The 20,999-nt window shown below is 43.4% G+C and overlaps 1 pseudogene, besides 1 other annotated feature; it reads left to right on the top strand.

Annotated features, from left to right (window-relative positions):
* Window positions 1-20,999, top strand: part of LOC124906205 (UPF0764 protein C16orf89-like) — a 79,830-nt pseudogene that overhangs the window by 20,755 nt on the left and 38,076 nt on the right.
* Window positions 2,880-4,079: an enhancer, noted in NCBI's record as "P300/CBP strongly-dependent group 1 enhancer chr3:5371861-5373060 (GRCh37/hg19 assembly coordinates)". NCBI's record gives its function as "activates an origin of replication core promoter dependent on BRD2, BRD4, P300/CBP, MED14 and CDK7 cofactors, with strong dependence on P300/CBP, by STARR-seq in HCT116 cells {active_cell/tissue: HCT116}" and the evidence as "EXISTENCE:reporter gene assay evidence [ECO:0000049][PMID:35650434]".

The raw sequence follows: 20,999 nt of genomic DNA on the forward strand, positions 1-20,999 counted from the left end.
GCTTGAGCTCTGCTGTTTGCTTTTGTCCTGCCTGTTTCAGACTCTACAGCGTCACCCCTGCTGTCTCTGCTGTTGTGCTTCATTTTTCTCAGATCCTCCCTTTCTTCCAAGGCCCAGCACAAGCATCATCTCCTCCAAAAGCTCCATCCCGACCATTCCTGCCCTCTCCTCTGAACTCTGCCAGCATCACCCACCTAGCTCATTTGTTAACACTCTGTTGCATCAGTACTGTCTCTTTTTTTTTTTTAAATTATACTTTAAGTTCTAGGGTGCATGTGCACAACGTGCAGGTTTGTTACATATGTATACATGTGCCATGTTGGTGTGCTGCACCCATTAACTCATCATTTACATTAGGTATATCTCCTAATGCTATCCCTCCCCCCTCCCCCCACCCCAGGACAGGCCTTGGTGTGTGATGTTCCCCTTCCTGTGTCCAAGTGTTCTCATTCTTCAGTTCCCACCTATGAGTGAGAACATGTGGTGTTTGGTTTTCTGTCCTTGCATTAGTTTGCTCAGAATGATGGTTTCCAGCTACATCCATGTCCCTGAAAAGGACATGAACTCATCGTTTTTCATGGCTGCATAGTATTCCATGGTGTATATGTGCCACATTTTCTTAATCCAGTCTATCATTGATGGACATTTGGGTTGGTTCCAAGTCTTTGCTATTGTGAATAGTGCTGCAATAAACATACGTGTGCATGTGTCTTTGTAGCAGCATGATTTATAATCCTTTGGGTATATACCCAGTAATGGGATGGCTGGGTCAAATGGTATTTCTAGTTCTAGATCCTTGAGGAATCGCCACACTGTCTTCCAGAATGGTTGAACTAGTTTACAGTCCCACCAACAGTGTAAAAGCGTTCCTATTTCTCCACATCCTGTCCAGCACCTGTTGTTTCCCGACTTTTTAAAATTTAGATCAATATCCCTGAAGAACATCAATGCAAAAATCCTCAATAAAATACTGGCAACCGAATCCAGCAGCACATCAAAAAGCTTATCCACCATGATCAAGTGGGCTTCATCCCTGGGATGCAAGACTGGTTCAACATATGCAAATCAATAAATGTAATCCAGCATATAAACAGAACCAAAGACAAAAACCACATGATTATCTCAATAGAGGCAGAAAAGTCCTTTGACAAAATTCAACAGCACTTCATGCTAAAAACTCTCAATAAATTTCGTATTGATGGGATATCTCTAAATAAGAAGAGCTATTTATGACAAACCCACAGCCAATATTATACTGAATGGGCAAAAACTGGAAGCATTCCCTTTGAAAACTGGCACAAGACAGGGATGCCCTCTCTCACCACTCCTATTCAACGTAGTGTTGGAAGTTCTGGCCAGGGCAATCAGGCAGGAGAAAGAAATAGAGGGTATTCAATTAGGAAAAGAGGAAGTCAAATTGTCTCTGTTTGCAGATGATGTAATTGTATATTTAGAAAACCCCATCATCTCAGCTCCAACTCTCCTTAAGCTGATAAGCAACTTTAGCAAAGTCTCAGGATACAAAATCAATGTGCAAAAATCACAAGCTTTTCTATACACCAATAACAGACAAACAGAGAGCCAAATTATGAGTGAACTCCCATTCACAATTGCTTCAAAGAGAATACAATACCTAGGAATCCAACTTATAAGGGACATGAAGGATCTCTTCAAGGAGAACTACAAACCACTGCTCAATGAAATAAAAGAGGACACAAACAAATGGAAGAACATTCCATGCTCATGGATAGGAAGAATCAATATGGTGAAAATGGCCATACTGCCCAAGGTAATTTATAGATTCAATGCTAGCCCCATCAAGCTACCAATTACTTTCTTCACAGAATTGGAAAAAACTACTTTAAAGTTCATATGGAACTAAAAAAGAGCCCACATTGCCATGACAATCCTAAGCCAAAAGAACAAAGCTGGAGGCATCATGCTACCTGACTTCAAACTATACTACAAGGCTACAGTAACCAAAACAACATGGTACTGGTACCAAAACAGAGATATAGACCAACGGAACAGAACAGAGCCCTCAGAAATAATACCACACATCTACAACCATCTGATCTTTGACAAACCTGACAAAAACAAGAAATGGGGAAAGGATTCCCTATTTAATAAATGGTGCTGGGAAAACTGGCTAGCCATATGTAGAAAGCTGAAACTGGATCCCTTCCTTACACCTCATACAAAAATTAATTCAAGATGGATTAAAGACTTAAATGTTAGACCTATAACCATAAAAACCCTAGAAGAAAACCTAGGCAATACCATTCAGGACATAGGCATGGGCAAGGACTTCATGTCTAAAACACCAAAAGCAATGGCAACAAAAGCCAAAATTGACAAATGGGATCTAATTAAACTAAAGAGCTTCTGCACAGCAAAAGAAACTACCATCAGAGTGAACAGGCAACCTAGAGAATGGGAGAAAATGTTTGCAATCTACTCATCTGACAAAGGGCTAATATCCAGAATCTACAATGAACTCAAACAAATTTACAAGAAAAAAACAAACAACCCCATCAGCAAGTGGGCGAAGGATATGAACAGACACTTCTCAAAAGAAGTCATTTATGCAGCCAACAGACACATGAAAAAATGCTCATCATCACTGGCCATCAGAGAAATGCAAATCAAAACCACAATGAGATACCATCTCACACCAGTTAGAATGGGGATCATTAAAAAGTCAGTGTCGTCTCTTTAAAAGTTCTTCAGGCTCAGTGACAGCAGGGGCCTTTGTTTCACCCCACCCCTCCTTCCCTAGTATATAGCTCAATGACAATCAGGCTTCAAAGACCCCTTTCCCTGGGAGTCAGCTCATCTAATTATATGTGAGTTTCCTTCATTTAACCTCAGCCAATCAATTTCTAATTTGCAAAATGAGTAGATGGGACTAGTTCGTTTCCACATTCCTTTCCAATACCATCTTTCTAATAAATCCTGGCTGAACTGAGTTGACTTTGCCCCACTGGATTGCGAATTCCTCAATAACTTAGAGCATCTCTGTATAGTTATCCAACCCAATCGCCTAACAGGATCAGCTACACACAGTAAGTTTTCAACGAAGGTTTATTAACCTCAGCAGGAACAACAAACACTTCTGGGTAAAATTACATATAGGATCCATTATGAGAGAAGACTATGTGAATCAATGAGTAAGTCCAATTTACATCAGCGAGTCCCACGCCTAACCCACTTCTGTTTGTATAAACTTGCTGTGAGACTTCAACTGCTTTAAAACAATCTCCTTATGGCTCAGTGAATGAGTCAGGATTTCTGGGGACCTGATGCACAAAATCACGATCAAAGCTGGTTGGTGAGTCACATCCTTCATGAATGATCACTCCTGGGCAGGAACATATACAGTCTCCCCCCGATCCCCACCCACTGTTGCTCAGTATCTCCTCTACCTGGTCAGAGCCAAGGGTCACAGAGACATTGGCTGGAGACAAGAGTAGAGATCACAAGAGGACTGAACCAGAAGCCGGCTCCATGGGACATTCTTTCTATTGCTTCGTCTTGGGTAGGAAAGGTCAGTCACACTGGATATCCTGGTGCAGGTACTTTTTGTTCCCCTCCTGTATCAGTCCATTTTCACATTGCTGTAAAGAACTTCCTGAGACAAAACTTCCTGAGACTGGGTAATGTATAAAGGAGAGAGGTTTAATTGACTTACAGTTCCACATAGCTGGGGAGGCCTCAGGAAACTTACAATCATGGAGAAACTTGAAGGGGAAGCAGGCACCTTCTTTTTTTTTTTTTTGACGGAGTCTCGCTCTGTCGCCCAGGCTGGAGTGCGGTGGCGCGATCTCGGCTCACTCCAAGCTCCGCCTCCCGGGTTCCCGCCATTCTCCTGCCTCAACCTTCCGAGTAGCTGGGACTACAGGCGCACACCGCCACGCCCAGCTAATTTTTTGTATTTTTAGTAGAGATGGGATTTCACCGTGTTAGCCAGGGTGGTCTCGATCTCCTGACCTCGTGATCCGCCCACCCCGGCCTCCCTAAGTGCTGGGATCACAAGCGTGAGCCACCGCTCCCGGCCGCAGGCACCTTCTTTACAAGACGGCCGGACAGAGAGAGTGGGAAGGAGGAACTGCCAAACACTTATAAACCGTCAGATCTCCTGAGAATTCCCTCACCATCACGGGAACAGCATGGGGGAAGCTGCCCCAGTGATCCAATCGCCTCCCTCCAGGTCCCTCCCTCGACACGTGGGAATTACAGTTTGAGATGAGATTTGGGTGGAGACACAGAGCCAAACCATACCACCTCCACTATTTGTGAAGATTGGTTATGATGAGGCTTCTGCCATGGAAATGTTAACATTTGACTCCAGTGTTGCTGACGTTTTGAAATAAAGTTTTTGCAAGCGGTGCAACACATCATTTTCCTTATACACCTGCTGGCATCATTACATTCCCTGGTCAGGAACCAGGAGGTTCACATGACCTACAGTACTGGATCTTTAACCATCTAACTACCTAATTCCTTAGTCCTTTCTGTCCAGGACTCCCAGTTGCATATTCTCTGTGGAAATTACATTCTCATTCTCCCTTCTACCTGAATTCCTACCTGCCTGCCCCCTTCTTCTCCTCTTTACTTCCTTTCTTTCTTTATCTGCTATTGATAGTACTTGGAGCTGCTGATACAATTTAGACACTACCCAGGCTTTCAAGGAATTCCTGCTTTCTGCTGTTGCCATGAGCTGAAATTCTTTTTCATCTTTACTTATCCAAAGCTGCTGGGAGGTAGCTCAAAGTCTAACCCAACTAAGAACACAGTCATTTATTCACTTATTTGTTTACTAACTTAATATTTGTGGAGCACCCACTCTGTGTTAGCCTGTGCCAGATGTTTGCTGTTCAGGTAGGAAAAAAGGTTCCTGTTTGCAGGGAGCTTACATTACACAGAGAAAAAAGATAAAAATTAGATAAAATATCCAATATCAGCGGTGGTTCCAGAATCTCTACATCAAATGGGCTCAGGGGTGGAAATCTGGTAGGAAAGTTGGTTAGAAGAAATTGACTTTTAAAATCTGATTTTGCATGGTGAGAGTTAATGTTAAAAATTGATAAGATGTTGCCAGGGCCTGCAGGTGGAGAGGGAGGAATGAGAGTTATTGCTTTACAGGCACAGAGTTTCAGTTCTGCAAGATGAAGAGCTCTGGAGGTGAATAGTAGTGCTGGTTGCACAACAATATGAATATGCTTAATGCCACTGAACTGTACGCTTACAAATGGTTAAGGTGGCAAGTTTTATGTTATGTGAACTTTACCACAATTTAAAAAAAAACTAAGTTTGCTCAAGTTTACATAAGACTGAGAAAATATCAGCAGTCTGCATCCAAAACTGTTATTGTGGGAACTGACTCCTTAGTACTACTTATAAGAGGGTGATAAATACTGTGAGAAAATAAAGCAGGGAGGTCTGTTTCACTGTGGCTGGCTGGTTGGCAGTCATAGAAACCCCTGAGTTGATGATGTTAAGCTGAGAGATGGTTGTCAAGAGGGAGCCGGGCAGGTGCTGATCTGGAAGCAGAACTGCCCACGCAAGAGGAATGGCTAGGGCAAAATCCACAGGGTGAGAGAGAGCAAGGTTGGAATATTCCAGAAACTGAAAGCAAGGGCCTATGTGGCTGAAGCATGTTGGAGGAGGGGCGGATGGGTGAGAGATGGGGCTGGGGAGGTGGGCTGTCTTACAGGAACACAGCCAAGCCCATTTGTTTCCAAACATTTGTTTCCAGCTGTCGAGGGCTACTTGCATGCTACAAGGGTGGACTTGAGTAGTTGTGATGGAGTTTTGGCCCACAATACCAAAAATATTTGCGATCCTGCCCTTTTAGAAAAGGTTTGCCGACCTCTGCTTTAGAGGGTTATGAACAGGGAATGGCACAATCTGACGGGAAGTTTAGAAAGATCACTGTGGCTGCTGGGTGGCATATTTGTAGCTGACCCTCAAGTGTCTCCTATGTAGGTCTGAGCTCCAGCCGGACTGAGGGCAGGGTCTCTACTTTGTTCCCTGATGATTCCCTATGAGACAATGGGCATGAGACAGCTGAGGCAAATAGAGGTGCAGGGACTTGCTTCAGGTCCCAGAGCTGTAAGTAGAGGAGCAAAGATGGAAATTGCTACTCAAATGACTTCATAGCCTAGGCGTTTTCTTTTACACCCAGCTGCCTTTGACTGCAGAAGCATAAAATGCCTCTGTACGCTATAATTCTGGAGCAAAACAAGGTAAATCAGTCAAATGCAGGTGGCATAAAGTATGTGTAAAAAGAAGTTGTTTTTAAATATAAGCATGCATCACTTAATGGTGGGGATATGTGCCAAGAAATGTGTCATTAGGCAATTTTGTCACTGTGTGAACATCATGAAATGTACTTACAAAAACCCAGTCGTGCAGCCTATTACACATCTAGGCTAGCTGGTATAGCCTATTGCTCCTAGGCTGCAAACCTGTATGGCATGCTGTTGTACTGAATACTGTAGGCCATGGTAACACAATGGTTAAGTATGTGTGTCTCTAAATATAGCCAACCAGGGAAACTGTAAAGTAAAAACAGGGTATCATAATCTTATGAGACCACTGTCATACATGCAGTCCATTGTTCACTATAATGTTGTTTTGCAGCACCTGACTGTATTGTTTTTGGTGAAAGATGACCAGGAGTAGAGGTGACCTCCAAAAATCATTATCCCATCCTCCAATATCTAGGAAAGTAACTCATAGACCAACAAGATAGATGATGATGAGTGATGCTTGACTGATGTACAACTATATACAGAAATCTCCATTTGTTTTCTTTAAGCCAGCTGTAGATTGTGTTGAGTAACTTAAATAACCAAAATAACTGTTTTCAAATAGTTTCCCTGCCAAGTTTGATACCTCAAATACTTGAAATGTTCTGAGGAAAGAAGCTGAGATTACCAAAGTGAAGAATAAAAAGGGAAGCCAGATTTTTGAACCAAGAGGGAGATTGTGCCAGGCCTAATCCAGCAGAGAGAACATTTTGAATGGGATTTTCCAAGAAGCAGGTTTTGGCTAGCTAGGGTGAAACTGTGAATCACAAAATAATGACATTGTGAGCTGTAAACAGTTTTAATTTATACAGGTGACATTTAAAATGCTAATGAGACCTTAAGATAATTGCTGGAAGTTAGAAAGCCTCTGCTGGGAACTCTTCCAGTTTCTATGGAAATGGTTCAAAACATAACCAGATCAGTGAAGATGTTTCTGGTTTACCTGACTTGGGTTTCAACTTCTACAAAGCCAAGGAATTTAAGTGACTATTACTTGTGGTGACACTTTTGGTAATTGAAATCTATAGAATCCAGTCTGTAAGTAGAGCGTGAGAACTCATCTCAGCAACGGGAGATTTCAATGTAGCTTCTGTGGTCTGTTCACCTTTCAAGTGGAGATGTATCAACACCAAGAAAATTAGCTCTGTCTTCAACCAAGTCTGGTTTTGTACATTGATTGCAGGTCGTACATACACACAAAAAATCTCAATGAAGTTTTTTTTTCCACTATTAACAATTTATTACACAGTTTTTCAGTATTATGTTTGTTCAACAATCAACAGGAGTTCAGGTGCCTCCCATGTGCTGAATACTTTGGCCCCCAGATGTGGTGGTGAACAAGGCCAAATAAGGTCTCTGCTCCCAGGAACTCATATGTGAAGGAAGAAATTAACACACATAACTGATACATACATAAAGTAGTATTGCATCTCTGATGAGTAGCACAAACAAAATTAAGCAGGGTAATATGATTGAGTGGATGATTAGAGGGCTCCATCCACCTGAAGATCAGGGCAAGCGTACTCCAGATAGAGGGAACAGTATGTGCAAAGGTCCTAAGGCAGAAACAAGTTGGCATTTTCATTTCTCTCTTTTTTTTTTTTTTTTTTTTTTAGAGACAGGGTCTCTCTCGGTCACCCAGGCTGGAGTGTAGTAGTGTGATCTTGGCTCATTGCAACGTCTACCTCCTGGGTTCAAGCAATTCTCCTGCCTCGGCCTCCCGAGTAGCTGGGATTACAGGCGTGTACCACCACACCCGGCTAATTTTGTATTTTTAGCAGAGACAGGGGTTCACCATGTTGGCTAGGCTGGTCTCGAACTCCTGACCTTTTTATTCCTCACTTTGGTAATCTCAGCTTCTTTCCTCAGAAATTTTCAAGTATTTGAGGTACCAAACGTGGCAGGGAGACTATTTGAAAACAGTTATTTTGGTTATTGAAGTTACTCAACACAAAATTTGTTTCTTGGATTTTAGCCTACCTCTTGCAAAGCTTACCATTGAGTTCTTTGCCTCTAGCACCATCCTGTTACATGGCAGGCACTAAATAAATGCTCGTAGAATAAATTATCCTCCATTCGTTGGTTTTAATGATGCTTTCTGGATTCCCTCTCTTGTGACAAATCAAGTCTTAAAGGCAGTGCTCAAGTCTCTCATGATTGTTGTTTCTTCTTCTTTTGCCATGGTCCCAATCTCTCCATCATGCAGGCAGCTTTCCTTCTGATGTTTGTCAAAGTGTCTCTTAAAACATGGTACCTGGAGCACATCATTGCACTTTGCTGGCAGCCACTGTCAGCTCTGTGTACACTGTGCTGGCCTCAGCAAGTAGTCAGTGACCCCTGAGACTATGCCCAAGCTCTCCGACAGTCATTAACCATGTGTGGGAATAAAGAAGTTGTTGAACAAAAACATGTATACACAGAAGTCTTGATTCTGTTGCTGCGCATGCAAATAATCTGGAGCATCAGGCCACAGTGAAGTGGCTCCTTGTTTCAAAAACACCAGACACACCTCGTACAGAAGGTCTTGTGTAAGTTTCTAGATGCTGTCTGATTGGAAGCACCTGAGTTGTAAGAGTTAGACTGGGCTGCTGCCTTTGGCCTAGGTGGAAGAAAGCTGCTAAAACTTCCCCAGGGAATAGTTTTCTTGTGAACAAATGGATTTAGATGAACAAATTACTTGCAATTAATTTCAGCCCTATGCACCGTAAATTGAATTGGGGTTACCTGTGAATTCCAAAAGATGTGGCTTAAGATATTCATATTTTACCCCATATTTTTATTTTACTTTTTAAAACTGAAATAAAATATAAGTATTAAATCATGTGTGGGCGGGCACGCAAGCGTGCGCGCGCGCACACACACACACGCACACACACACACACACACACACGCACACGCAGTGCTCTTCCTGAGAGCCAGAACTCTGCTAAGAATAGAGTGATGAAGGCTCCAGCAAATCTTTTCTTTTAAGATCCATCTTATCCTCTTTGAAGCACCCGAAGAGCAAATTGCAACATGGTGAAGTGTCTCTGCACAATCAGCAATCCCTTTCTGTACTCATTTTCTGCATGGGCACCCCCAACTCCTTTACATTAACTCTCTCTCAAAGCTCACGAAATGACCTCGCATGATCAATTTAAATCAGAATTTTCCAACTGGAGTCCACAAGCCATCAGTTACTGTTTGATGGTATTTGTTTGGTCTGGTGTTAGCGTGCACTGTGTTAAAACATTTTTTTGTTGTTGTTGTCAAGAAGTTTAGTACAGATCTTCACTCAAAAATGAACATCTAGACATTTCGGCTTTAAAAAAAAGTATGGGGTCACTCAAGGCCCACCTTCCTGCCTGGCAACAATGAGTAGAGCTGAGTAGTTGCTCTCCATTCAGGGGATGCATGGACCCTTTAGCTAGCTGCAATCCCCACCACTCCCTATTGTCACCCCACATTCTACTGCTTTACTCATTTACTTTACCTGCATGACTCCTGTAGATTTGGAATTAGTGACCACTGATTGAAACACTTTGAAATAATTTTAATCCCTGTCATTCTTCTTCCCTAGAGAATTGGCATCTTCAGCCTTAGACAGTCTCTTATTAAGGGAATTTCATATGGATGAGAGAGATATTTTATAAAAAATCCCCTTTAAAAGACCCCTTTAAATCCTACCAGGTAGGAATTTATTTTTAGGTTTGTGCATAAGGCAGACTCTATCCTCTTTAGTGGATGCTTTCATTATTTACATGTTTTAATAATTTTGTTTCTCTCTCTTTTATATCTTTTTCCAGGTCCCTTACCTGCCTTGAGGCTAAGGTAAATTTCCTACAATGAATTTCGTATCTCTTTTTGTACTCATTACACAGGAAGCTTTACATTTAGCTGGGATGCCCTTTCTCTGTCCTTTCTCTAGGCTTCATTATTGGCTAGTTTTCTTTGGTGAACCTTGTTTGCCATCCATTTTCCCAGCCTTGTAGATAAGGTTTTTCTTTTTGTAACCTGAGTGGTGTCTGGCGGTGTGGTAGTCTACCAATTAAACAATGATGTTCAGCTGGACCATGTTGCCAAGCTGTTTGGAAACAATAATGTATCCTCTTATCTCAAACTCTGCTGAAAATTTTTGCTGTTTTTTGGTTTGTTTGGTTTTGTTTTTCTTTTGGTCAAGAACCTCACTTTTAGAGCACATTTCTTGCAGTGTGGAGATTAGTCTTGCCATTTATGTCTCTTCCCAAACTTTATCTTGTTGTTTTCATGGGCTTTAGAGTCAGAGACCTGGGTGCAAGTCACTTCAGAGACTGAAGATGTGTGATCGTAGGCAAGTTATTTAACTTCTCCGAGCTACAGTTTTCATATCTGCAAAATGGGGACAATCATAGTACCTGCCTTTTAGGGTGGTTGTAAGGAGTAAATCTTATAATAAACGTAAAGCCCTTAGCTGAGAACTTGGCACATAGTAGTTGCTCAGTAAGTATGGGTAGCATGTTTACTCAGTATCTCACAGTTTTCAAAGTACTTTCACATTCTTATAATGCCCATGAAACCCGGTGAGATAAGCCGAGGCTCAGACTCAGTATCAGAACCAGGGAGGATGGGAGTGGAGAGAGGCTGTGCTAATTCTTGGGGACTCTGGTGCTACAAATCCTCTACTGAAATGTTTAGATCTTGATAGGGGACCCATTCCACCCATCCCTTGCGGGAATGAACCTGCTTCCCCACCCACAGATAAAGATCCTCATTAGGGCTGGGGGAATGATCTTTGCAGGAACAGACTTTTAAGGGTGACCAGCTACTCTGGTTTGCTTGGGACTGAAGTGTTTCCTGGAATAAAAGCCTTTCAGTGCTGAAACTTGGACAGCCCTGGGAAAAGTGGGATTGTTGGTCATCCTAGACTCCCCAGGAACCCACTGTAAAGCCAGAGTATAGGAAAAACATCCAGGAACTCTTGGGTACTTTTTCTCTCTTTGGCTGAGAGTGCTGCTTTTTAGTGCAGGCTTTAGCCCAAGAACGAGAGGTGCGTCATGCTTGAACAAAATATATTTCATGAATAACTTTTTTTTTTGAGATGGAGTCTCGTTCTGTTGCTCAGGCTGGAGTGCAGCAGTGCGATCTCGGCTCACAGCAACCTCTGCCTGTCTGGTTCAAGTGATTCTCCCACCTCAGCCTCCTGAGCTGCTAGGATTACAGGTGTTCACCACTGTGTCTGGCTAATTTTTGTATTTTTAGGAGAGACAGGGTTTCACTGTGTTGGCCAGGCTGACCTCAAACTCCTGACCTAATGTAATCCTCCTGCCCCAGCCTCCCAAAGTGCTGGGATTACAGGTGTGAGCCACCCCGCCTGGCCATGAATAACTTTTGTATTGATTACGTGTTGAAATGACAATATTTGGATATGTTGGGTTAAAAAAAGTTACAAATTTTCCAAAAAAAAGGCAGCAGCATAGAAAAAATTATTTTTTCTCTACTTACACTTAAAATATCACTAGTGCATATGCTCTGTGGGGACCTAAGAGACCAGGTAAGAAGAGTCCCCAGCAAAGCCACTCCTGTACATCCCCTGTGAAGCCATCTTGAGGCCATTATGTTCTGTATCACAGGCCCTTGCTACTTAAAGTATGGTCTGTGGACCAGCAGTATTGGCATCACCTGGGAGCCCATCAGAACTGCAGCCTCGCAGGCCCCACAGCAGACTGCTGAATCAATCTGTAGTTTAACAAGATCCCCAGGCAAATCACATGCCCAGTAAAGTTTGAGAAGCTCTGGTCCAGGCTTCAATCAGGTTCTTGAACTTTGGTGGGCCTCAGAATCTCCTGGGGAACTTGGTAAAGGCAAGCAGGTGCTTTCCCACCTCAACAAGCAGAGGTCTCGCTGAACTTGATTAGCTCTCCAGGTGATTCAGATCCCACAGTTTGCAGGCCGCTGGCTGAAATGATTAGGTATTGACAGCAGGTGAAGGTGGGCTCTTCTCACCAGTCTGAAATCCACCCGCAATGTTGCAGGCGCAGAACAGAGACACAAAAGTAGGCGTGTTTGTGATTGCTCTTAGCTTCTCAGTCAAGCAGAAACCCACTTTATCTACAGTAGCAAAGAGATCCCCTGGTATTAGCCAGGACTCGTACACCTGTCCCACTTCATGCATCGTTTCTGTGAGTCCATCCTTTGTCAAGGTGAGTGTGCCCTCTGGGTGGGAATTATTGGGAGGAAAAGGACTTTGTAGACAAGAGGGCCTGGCTTTGCTATATCTACTGCTCACACACACTTTGAGTTCTCCTCTGAGGGGACTCCAGCGAAATCGAATAGTTCTCCTTTATTGAGCAAATGCTTTGGGGTCAGAGTGGGAGGTCGCATCTAACTAAAGTGTTATACGCAACATGATAGCAGGGCTTTACACTGGTGGGACCTGGGGTGATGGGGAGTGTTTAAGATGAGAACAGAAACAAGATGTTGAGGTTAAAGTCACTCAGTTGCAATTGACCTTTGGAGCTGTAGCAAATGTGTGTGCCGCCTGTGCACACATTTCAACTCTGTGCCCGGCCCTGGTTTTCCCTGCAGCTGTGCCGGACGGTTTCATGCGGGCTCTGACTTACTCGCCACTGGCAATGTCTCACCCCAAGGGCTGGCTTTCTCTAGCACTGGAGGCCTTCCCAGTCTGGAAGATTAGGGGCATTAACTCCCCAAGGGACAGCTCTCAAACAATGGGAGAAGAGGCAGTGGATAAATACTTCAGACTCTGGTCCTCCAGGGGACATTTCTGGAATGCATTCTTTGTTTTCTCAAGTCCTGTAGGAAATTGAGTTCCCATTGCCTCTTGAGAACTCAGCAGTGCCCCTTATATTAGCTTCTCCTCTCCTGTCTCCCTTGCCTCACCCCTACACCCCGCTTCCTTGGTTTGTCTTTCAGAGTAACTGCCAGCAAGCCCTTGTCTCAGGCTCTGCCTCTGGGGGACCTAAACAAAGACAGGAGCAAACCCTGGTTCCTTGGCCTTTTTCTCCAGTCCTCTCTAGTGTTATTGAACCTCCCCTAACCATTCCATTTGGAACAAGCATCGTGGGTCTCTAACCCTGCTAACGAGGCACCCTAGTGTGGTGTATTCTCTCACATGACATTTTGTTCATAGCTTGACCTACGCTCTCAGGCCAGGCTAGTGTGTAATCACTGGAGTGAGAAGCTCTTCCATATTGGTACAAAATGCTGATTTATGGAAGTGAAGGCAGTGAGAACATGACTGGAAGACCTAGTTCTCATGCAGCTGGTCCCCAACCATGTTGAACCCCCCTTAGACCACACAGCAGGCTGGGACGCTTTCATCCAACCTTTCTTTCCTCTCTCCATCACTCAGACTGAGAAGCCAGACAGCCCTTCCTGCTTTCCTTCCACATAGCTCCTCCCCGAATCACATCCTTGCGGCTTAATCCCATCTTGGTGTCTGCTCTTCGGAGGATCTGGACTATCACAAATTTGTGTCACTACATCCCATCCGCTTTCCTCCTATTCTCCTTGTCTGCTGGACTCTTTCTTCAACTGTCTTGCTTGCTTTCCCCCTGATACTTCATTGCTTTGCTCCAACCTCCCTATCAATCAATGACTTCTGTGGCTTCTCTTTGTCTGATGGGGTTCCTGGTATCTGTGGTCTGGTTTTAGCAACTATGTGGTTGGTATGGGGGTGGGATCTCATGTGTAGGGTCTGTATGGAGGGTCTGGCTTTCCAGCTTGTGAAGTGCTGCTTCTCAGGGCATTCATTATGCGGATGCATTGACATCAAAAGGCAGCAGTAAAATATGAAGTTCTGGGTTTCTTTATTTTGATTTGGATACACAGGGAACCAATATTTTTGCTGCTGAAGGTCAAGCACTGCCCTGGATGAAGTCTTCACCTGTTTTTAAAATTTAATCTTTAGTGTTCTCCTGAGAAGTAGGAGGCATTATTCTTATTTCATAGACAAGGAGAGTGAGGCTCAACAACCTTCCCTGACTTGCCTGAGCCCATGAATTCACCCACTGTGTTTTTGCTGAGGAGTACAAAGTGCTTGATTGAGCTGTCCTTTTTGGTTTGTCCTGCAGCTCCTGGGACTTATGGTGAGCGTATAGTTAATTGTATAATGTGGAAACTGAGGCAAGGGGTGGCAGTAACTCTGAGTATTCTGAGATCAGAACTGGCAAGGGCTGAGCAAGTGTGTCAAACAGAACTGGTGTTGGCCCACGTGTTGTGGTTTTAGTTGTGTTTTTGCCTGGGTTTTGACTATGAAAGCCCTGAGGTGAGTTGAAAGATGGTTTCATCCAACTAAAAAAAGATTGTGCGTGTGTGTGTGCGCGCGTGTGTGTGTGTGTGTGTGTGTGTGTGTCTGGCTGATTGGAGCCAATTCTCTGTTCTCTGCACACTAGGGTTTAAAAGATCCATGACGAACCATACTTGCCTGGTGCTAATGTTTTGTTCGGTTTCATGTGATCCCTCTGATGTCTGCTGTACCATCAGAGGCCACTTCCAAAGGAGCCATGTGAGAAACGACACCATGCCCAGAACAAGGGCACTGTGTTGCTTTTTAAATCTGCCATAAGCAGCCTCATTTGTAGAGATTTGGTTCCTAATGATCTTGTTCTGACTTTCATCTGCTTCCTGAGCCTGGGTCAGATACGCAGTTAGGAAGATACCAGAGGGGAGATTCTTTCATGGTTATGAGCTTCGTTCATCCTGAGTTAGGCCAGCTGTGGCAGGTGGACTCCAGGGCTGGCTCCTTTGTTTAGGGGCCTCTTAGTTCAGGCACTTGAAGTTTCTTGTGGAAACTGGTTCAGGAAAAAATCAGAAGGAGCTGCCGGTACAGTAGGAGGCTTCTAGTATCTTAGCATGCTGTAGGTAACCTCAAGAATGTATTATTTCTGGGAGTGGTGGTTGGCTGATAAAAGGCAAGGCATTGAGTTCTGTGTACCTTTGCCTGGGTGAGGTATAGGGATGTGTGTGAGGGGAGAGATCTGTTTTTAGTGAAAAGAAATTCTCAAGTTACCATAAGGAATTATTCATTCATTTATTTATTTCTTTGCTCAGATGTTTAGTAAGCTCCCCCGCTCCATCAAGCACTGTGCTATGTGCTGGGGATACGGGAGTGAACAAGACAGATACATCTTCGTCTCGTGAGCTTAGAGTCTGTAGACTTAGGGGTTTAGGAGCAATGTTTAGTTTTGTGCAAGACACATGGATATGGGTAAATTTGGCCCACCTGGAGCTTGTCCTTTATGGAGTAGCCTTGAAATTTACTAAGAATACCAAGATTTTTTAACATTTGTATTAATAGTTGTGTGTGTTATTTCAGCACCTTTCTTCCCTTTTCTTCCTGCAAGAGACCCTGACTCTGGGCATAATATCTCACACCCACAGTGGTGGTTAATTGGTCTAAAGTCAAGGAATGTAGCCAAGCTTGACCAATCATAGTCCTTCCCTAGGATTTTTAATACCAGTGTAGGAGTGTGCCTCCCTTCTGTCCCCAATCCATCTCTGCCTCTTTTCGCCCCATCTCTCCCCAACCCTACCTTCTGGCAATAGAGTAGAGAGAGAGGAGAGGAAGGCAAGGGCGAGGGGTGGCAGAGAGAGGGGTGGGCAGCAGAGGATGTACTGGGGTGCTTGACACAGACTGGGGTGGGGAATGTTAGGAAAAGCTTTTTGGAAGAGTTGGGTCTTTAGGGTTGAGCAGGAGTTTGTCATGTCATTGTTATCATTTTCCAAGTAACGGACAGGGTGACCAAAGGTAAGAGAGTAAATATTCTTGGTCCATTCCTATAACTTCCAAAAGTGCAGGTGCTATAGCACAGACCATTTGAAGGGGGAGGAAGGAGGGAGCAGGAAGGGACCTGCAGCCAGCTCAGGAAGTGTAGAGTTGATCCTGAAGGCATGGCCAGCACCAAGCATTTGCTGTTCTATGTGCTAAACATAACCCGGGCCCCATAGACACCAAGGCCTGATGAAAGAGCTGCCGGCACTGACAGATCTCCTGGGCTTCCAGTTCCCCTTTCCCATTCAGCATCTGAATGCTGCATCTCCAGCATACAAAACCAGCAACATCCCCTGAGTGAGTCCACTTCTTAACAAACAAACTACTCCCCTGTGCCTCCCAAGTTCAAGTGCACTTGCTCTTATTGTCTGTTCTTTTTTAGCTTTTTTTTTTATTTGCCTCTTTTAAAAGTTCAGAGAATGACTTGTAGTTCTTGAAGTGTCAGTATAGATTGCATGTCTAATTTATTCTACTTGCCCAGAGACACTTGAGATAATTACAGTGGGGAAATTCTGTTTTCTAAAAAAACCTGCATGCTGAGAGGATTATTTTGCCAGGTTCTCCATGGGACGCTGTCCCTTATGGAAATAAAAGAGTACTTTATATACCTACTGGGGTGATTCTGAGGCTCCAAGCCCCAATTTTCTCAGTGTTTCCAGAGATCTGACACAGAGGCTGTAGCATGTTTTTCAAAATTCAATTTAGGAAATATAATACATTTAGACATAGGTAATTTCAAGTTTAACCTTTCTCTTCTGAATTGCGGGTTTCATGTACGTGAATGCCCACTGTATCTTAGAAACAGGCTGCTGATTGGAATAATGAATGACTTTTAACAAATGTCAGTTTTATTTATTTTTCTATCTTTGTAAACTTCAGTGAAGTATAACATAAACACAGGAAACGGCACAGATCTGCTATGTACAGCTCAATAAATGTTTCAGTGATTGGTTCACATGTGTAACCAACTCCCAGATCAAGAAAGAGAATGTTGCTGGGAGTACTACAGAAGTCCCCTTGGGTCCTCACCTCCCCTGTTTCTCTTCCCAGGGTGACTGTGACCACAAATATGTTTTGCCTCATTCAATATTGTATTTACGAGTGTCATCCTTGTTGACTGTACTTGTAGTTCATTTCTTTTCATCAGTCTCTGGCATTCTGTTGAATGAGTATATTGTAAATTTTTCAGACCACTGTGAATGACCATTTGGGCTGTTTCTGTTTTTTGCCTATTATGAAGAGTGCTGCTACAAGCATTCTTGTTCATAGCAGATGTGACTTTGTGCATTTAATCTCATAGTCTCTGTGTTAGGGTTTGCCAGAGCAACAGAATCAGCAGTGTGTGTGTTTGTGTGTGTGTGTGTGTGTATTTTTAAGGAACTGGATCATGAAATTGTGGAGGTGTAAGTCCAAAACCTGCAGGATAGGCTGGCAGGTGGAAGACCCAGGGGAGAATTTCAGTTCAAGCTCAAAGGTCATCTGCTGGCAGAATTTCTCAGACTCTGGGGGAGGTCAGCCTTTGTTCTATTAAAACCTTCAACTGATGGTCGAGGCCCACCCACATCATGGAGGACAACCTGCTTTACTCAAAGTCTGTGGATTTACATGTGACTCTTATTCAAAAAACACCTTCATAGAAACATCCAGGACAATGTTTGACCAAATATCTGGGCACCTTGGCCCAGCCAAGTTGACATACAAAATTAACCATTGCAGTCACTTACTGCTTGCTATGTGACTTCTCCTGTGCTAGTGCTGGGTTGGGAGATTGGGGTGGGTAAAATGTGGTAGGATTGCTTTAAAATACACTGTATTAATAGAAAATGTGAGATACAGTTAGGCCAACAGATCAGGAGGTAACTGTCATTGAAAAGATATAGTTTGGGCGGGGCATGGTGGCTCACACCTATAATCCCAGCACTTTGGGAGGCCGAGGCTGGTGGATCACATGAGGCCAGGAGTTTGAGACCAGTCTGGCCAACATGGCGAAACCCCGTCTCAACTAAAAATTACAAAAAATTGGCTGGACATGGTGGCACACACCTGTAATCCCAACTACTAGGGAGGCTGAGGCACGAGAATAGCCTGAACCCGGGAGGCAAAAGTTGCAGTGAGCCGAGATCGTGCCACTGCACTCTAGCCTGGGTGACAGAGTGAGATGCTGTCTAAAAGAAAAAAAAGATAGTTTGTTACAGTTCCCCTGGGGAAGGGAACAGCACAACACACCATGCAGGGCCACACAGGGAAGCACCAGCATTGGTCAGGAGGCAGAGGGGGAACTGGGAGAAGGGGATTATATTGTGGTTTCTGCATGAAGAAATGGGTGAGGCAGGGTAAGGAGCCTCAGGATTGGCTAGCTGAATAATTCCTACAGGCTCTGGGGGAAGAGGGGCTGCCCCTAGTTGTGTGATATATGACCCTGGGGAAATCGGGGCAGGTGGATAGAGTAGGCTGGAGTGGTAAAGGAGGTGGTTGGGTTATAGGCTCTGGATTGGTTGGTTTGCATTTGCAAAACATATTTTCTAAGAATTGGCTAGTCCTGGCAGGGTCAGCAAGGCCCCAGATACTAAAGCATGGAATACTATGCAACCATAAAAAGGAACAAAATCATGGCCTTTGCAGGGACATGAATGGAGCTGGAAGCTGTTATCCTCAGCAAATTAATGCAGGAACAGAAAACGAAACACTGCATGTTCTCACAAGTGGGAGCTGAATGATGAGAACACATGAACACAGCGGGGAACAACACACACTAGGGCCTTTTGGGGTGGAGAGGGAGGGAGAGCATCAGGAAGGATAGCTAATGGATGCTGGGCTTAATACCTAGGACATGGGATGATCTATGCAGCAAACCACCATGGTACACCTGTGTAACAAACCCGCACATCCTGGACATGTACCCCTGAATTTAAAAGTTGAAGGTAAAAAAAAATATATATATATAAAAGAAAAGAAGGCAATATGGAGATAGGAAAAACTCTGAAGTGGGACTCAGGACCTAGAGTGCGTCATTAATCACCGATTCTTATTACATCTTGCAGTAATGATGCCCACCCTACTGATGAAAACTCAAGGCCTAGAGGAGCTAATCAGGTCGCTGGCCGGGAGAGAGCTGAAGCTTAAATCTGAGCCTCTCTGACTTGACTTTCTTAATCTTTATGCTTTTCTCCCTCCCAGGATTGTTCAAAACATGTTATTCTTAACTCTCCAGCCACACAGGGTTATTATAAGATAATGAGTTTATATAAGTGAGGATGCTTTGTACTCAGTGATGAGCTAGACAGATAGATGGTAAAATTTTTATGAGTTTATATTACAGGAGTGTGACTATGATTCAACCCTTGAAATACATAAATTCAACTTAAAGGATCTTAGAACCAGGAGAAGTATTTGGAGATCATTTGGTCCCTGTCTCTGTTCTTAAATAGGTGAGATCTGAAACTACTTATTTTCTCCTGGAGAGTGGCCAGACTCTCCCTTGGTCGCATCGTATATTATGACTGTGAAGAGAAAAAGATCAATGGATGTTTATTTCACAGGGACTTTGCTTAATAAGTTACTTCTTCAGTGTACCCAAGAGCATCTTGATGATCTGAGTGTTATTAAAGAAGCTTTTGGATGTACCTAACGTACCCAAAAGACATGGTTGAAGATGTGGCTCAATATGCCTTACACAGATCACCCAGTCTGTGGTTAGTAACACTCTCACAAAATCTAGAGTTCTTTGCCTGTGGGAAGTGGTGGAAAGAGTCCTGGGCTGGAGATAAGGCACTAGTGCTGGTTCTTCTTGACTGCAAAGTGATTGGCTGATCTTGGATGGTGACTTGATCATCTGAGCATCCATCTTCTCACTTAAAAATCAAAGGATTGGTTAGGCGATGTTTCAAGTTGCTTTCAGCATGGACAGGGCTACGTTCAGTCATCTAGGATTTGGATGGCTAATGTCATTTTGATAGAGGGACAAAGCACTTATAAGTAGCTGGGAATCTGGTCACTTTGATGTCTGGTAGTTAATAAATGAAGAAAGATTTGCACGAATACCTGAGCTGATCTTTCACTCTCTTGCCAGCTCTCTGCTGACTCCACTTCCTTGGTTAGCCCCGGGTTACTGTAAATTAAGCTAACTGCTTTTCCTGGGAATAGTGCTCTGTAAATCAACACTGGAGGAGAGTGGCTCTGTGAAGAGGGCTTTTCATGAGATACTCTAACCATTGGAAAGACAACATATTATCTGGCAGCTGTTTCTGAATATTAGTTTATGTCTGGGCAATTGTTTTCTTTATAATCCAAAGCTGTCAAGGAAACATAGCTCATGTAGCTTGGAAACTTGCCCTGCCATCTCTGCCTGGTAGCAGCTTATTCATTGTTTTCCTTCTTCCCCACAAACCCTTTCTTTCTGTATGTGGCACAATTAAATTAAATTATCAGTTTCTAGTTAATTTTATCCTGAAACAACTCCATCCTTTTTTTTTAAAAACAAAAAGACAATTTTTTTCTAAAATGAAACTGTATATCAGTGCCCATTTTTGTACTGTCATTCATGTGACTCTCCAAAATAGGCTGATTCATCATCAGTGAATTGATGGTTATTTTCAGCACTGGGGCTTAATCAGACATGCCCCTATTCCTTCAAATAATCATTTTTTTTGTTTTAATCATCTAGTTAAAAAATATGGAAGCCATCTTAATGTTACTTTGAATATCCACAATGGCAAAAAAAAAAAAAAAAAAACAAAAAACCACTTCTGTGACATCCGTAGCTGGTGGGCTGAGCTTGTAGAGTTACTGGAGTTCAGTTGTCTCATTAAAACGGAAGTGGGTGCTGATATTTCAGCCCTCCCCCCTGCCCCATTCAACATATCAGTTCAGTGCTAAGCCAGAAGAGAGCTACAACTTGACCCTTAGTTTCCTATGCTTCTCCAGAAGCTTCCTAG

The sequence above is a fragment of the Homo sapiens genome, chromosome 3, assembly GCF_000001405.40.
Source record: "Homo sapiens chromosome 3, GRCh38.p14 Primary Assembly".
NCBI lineage: Eukaryota > Metazoa > Chordata > Mammalia > Primates > Hominidae > Homo > Homo sapiens.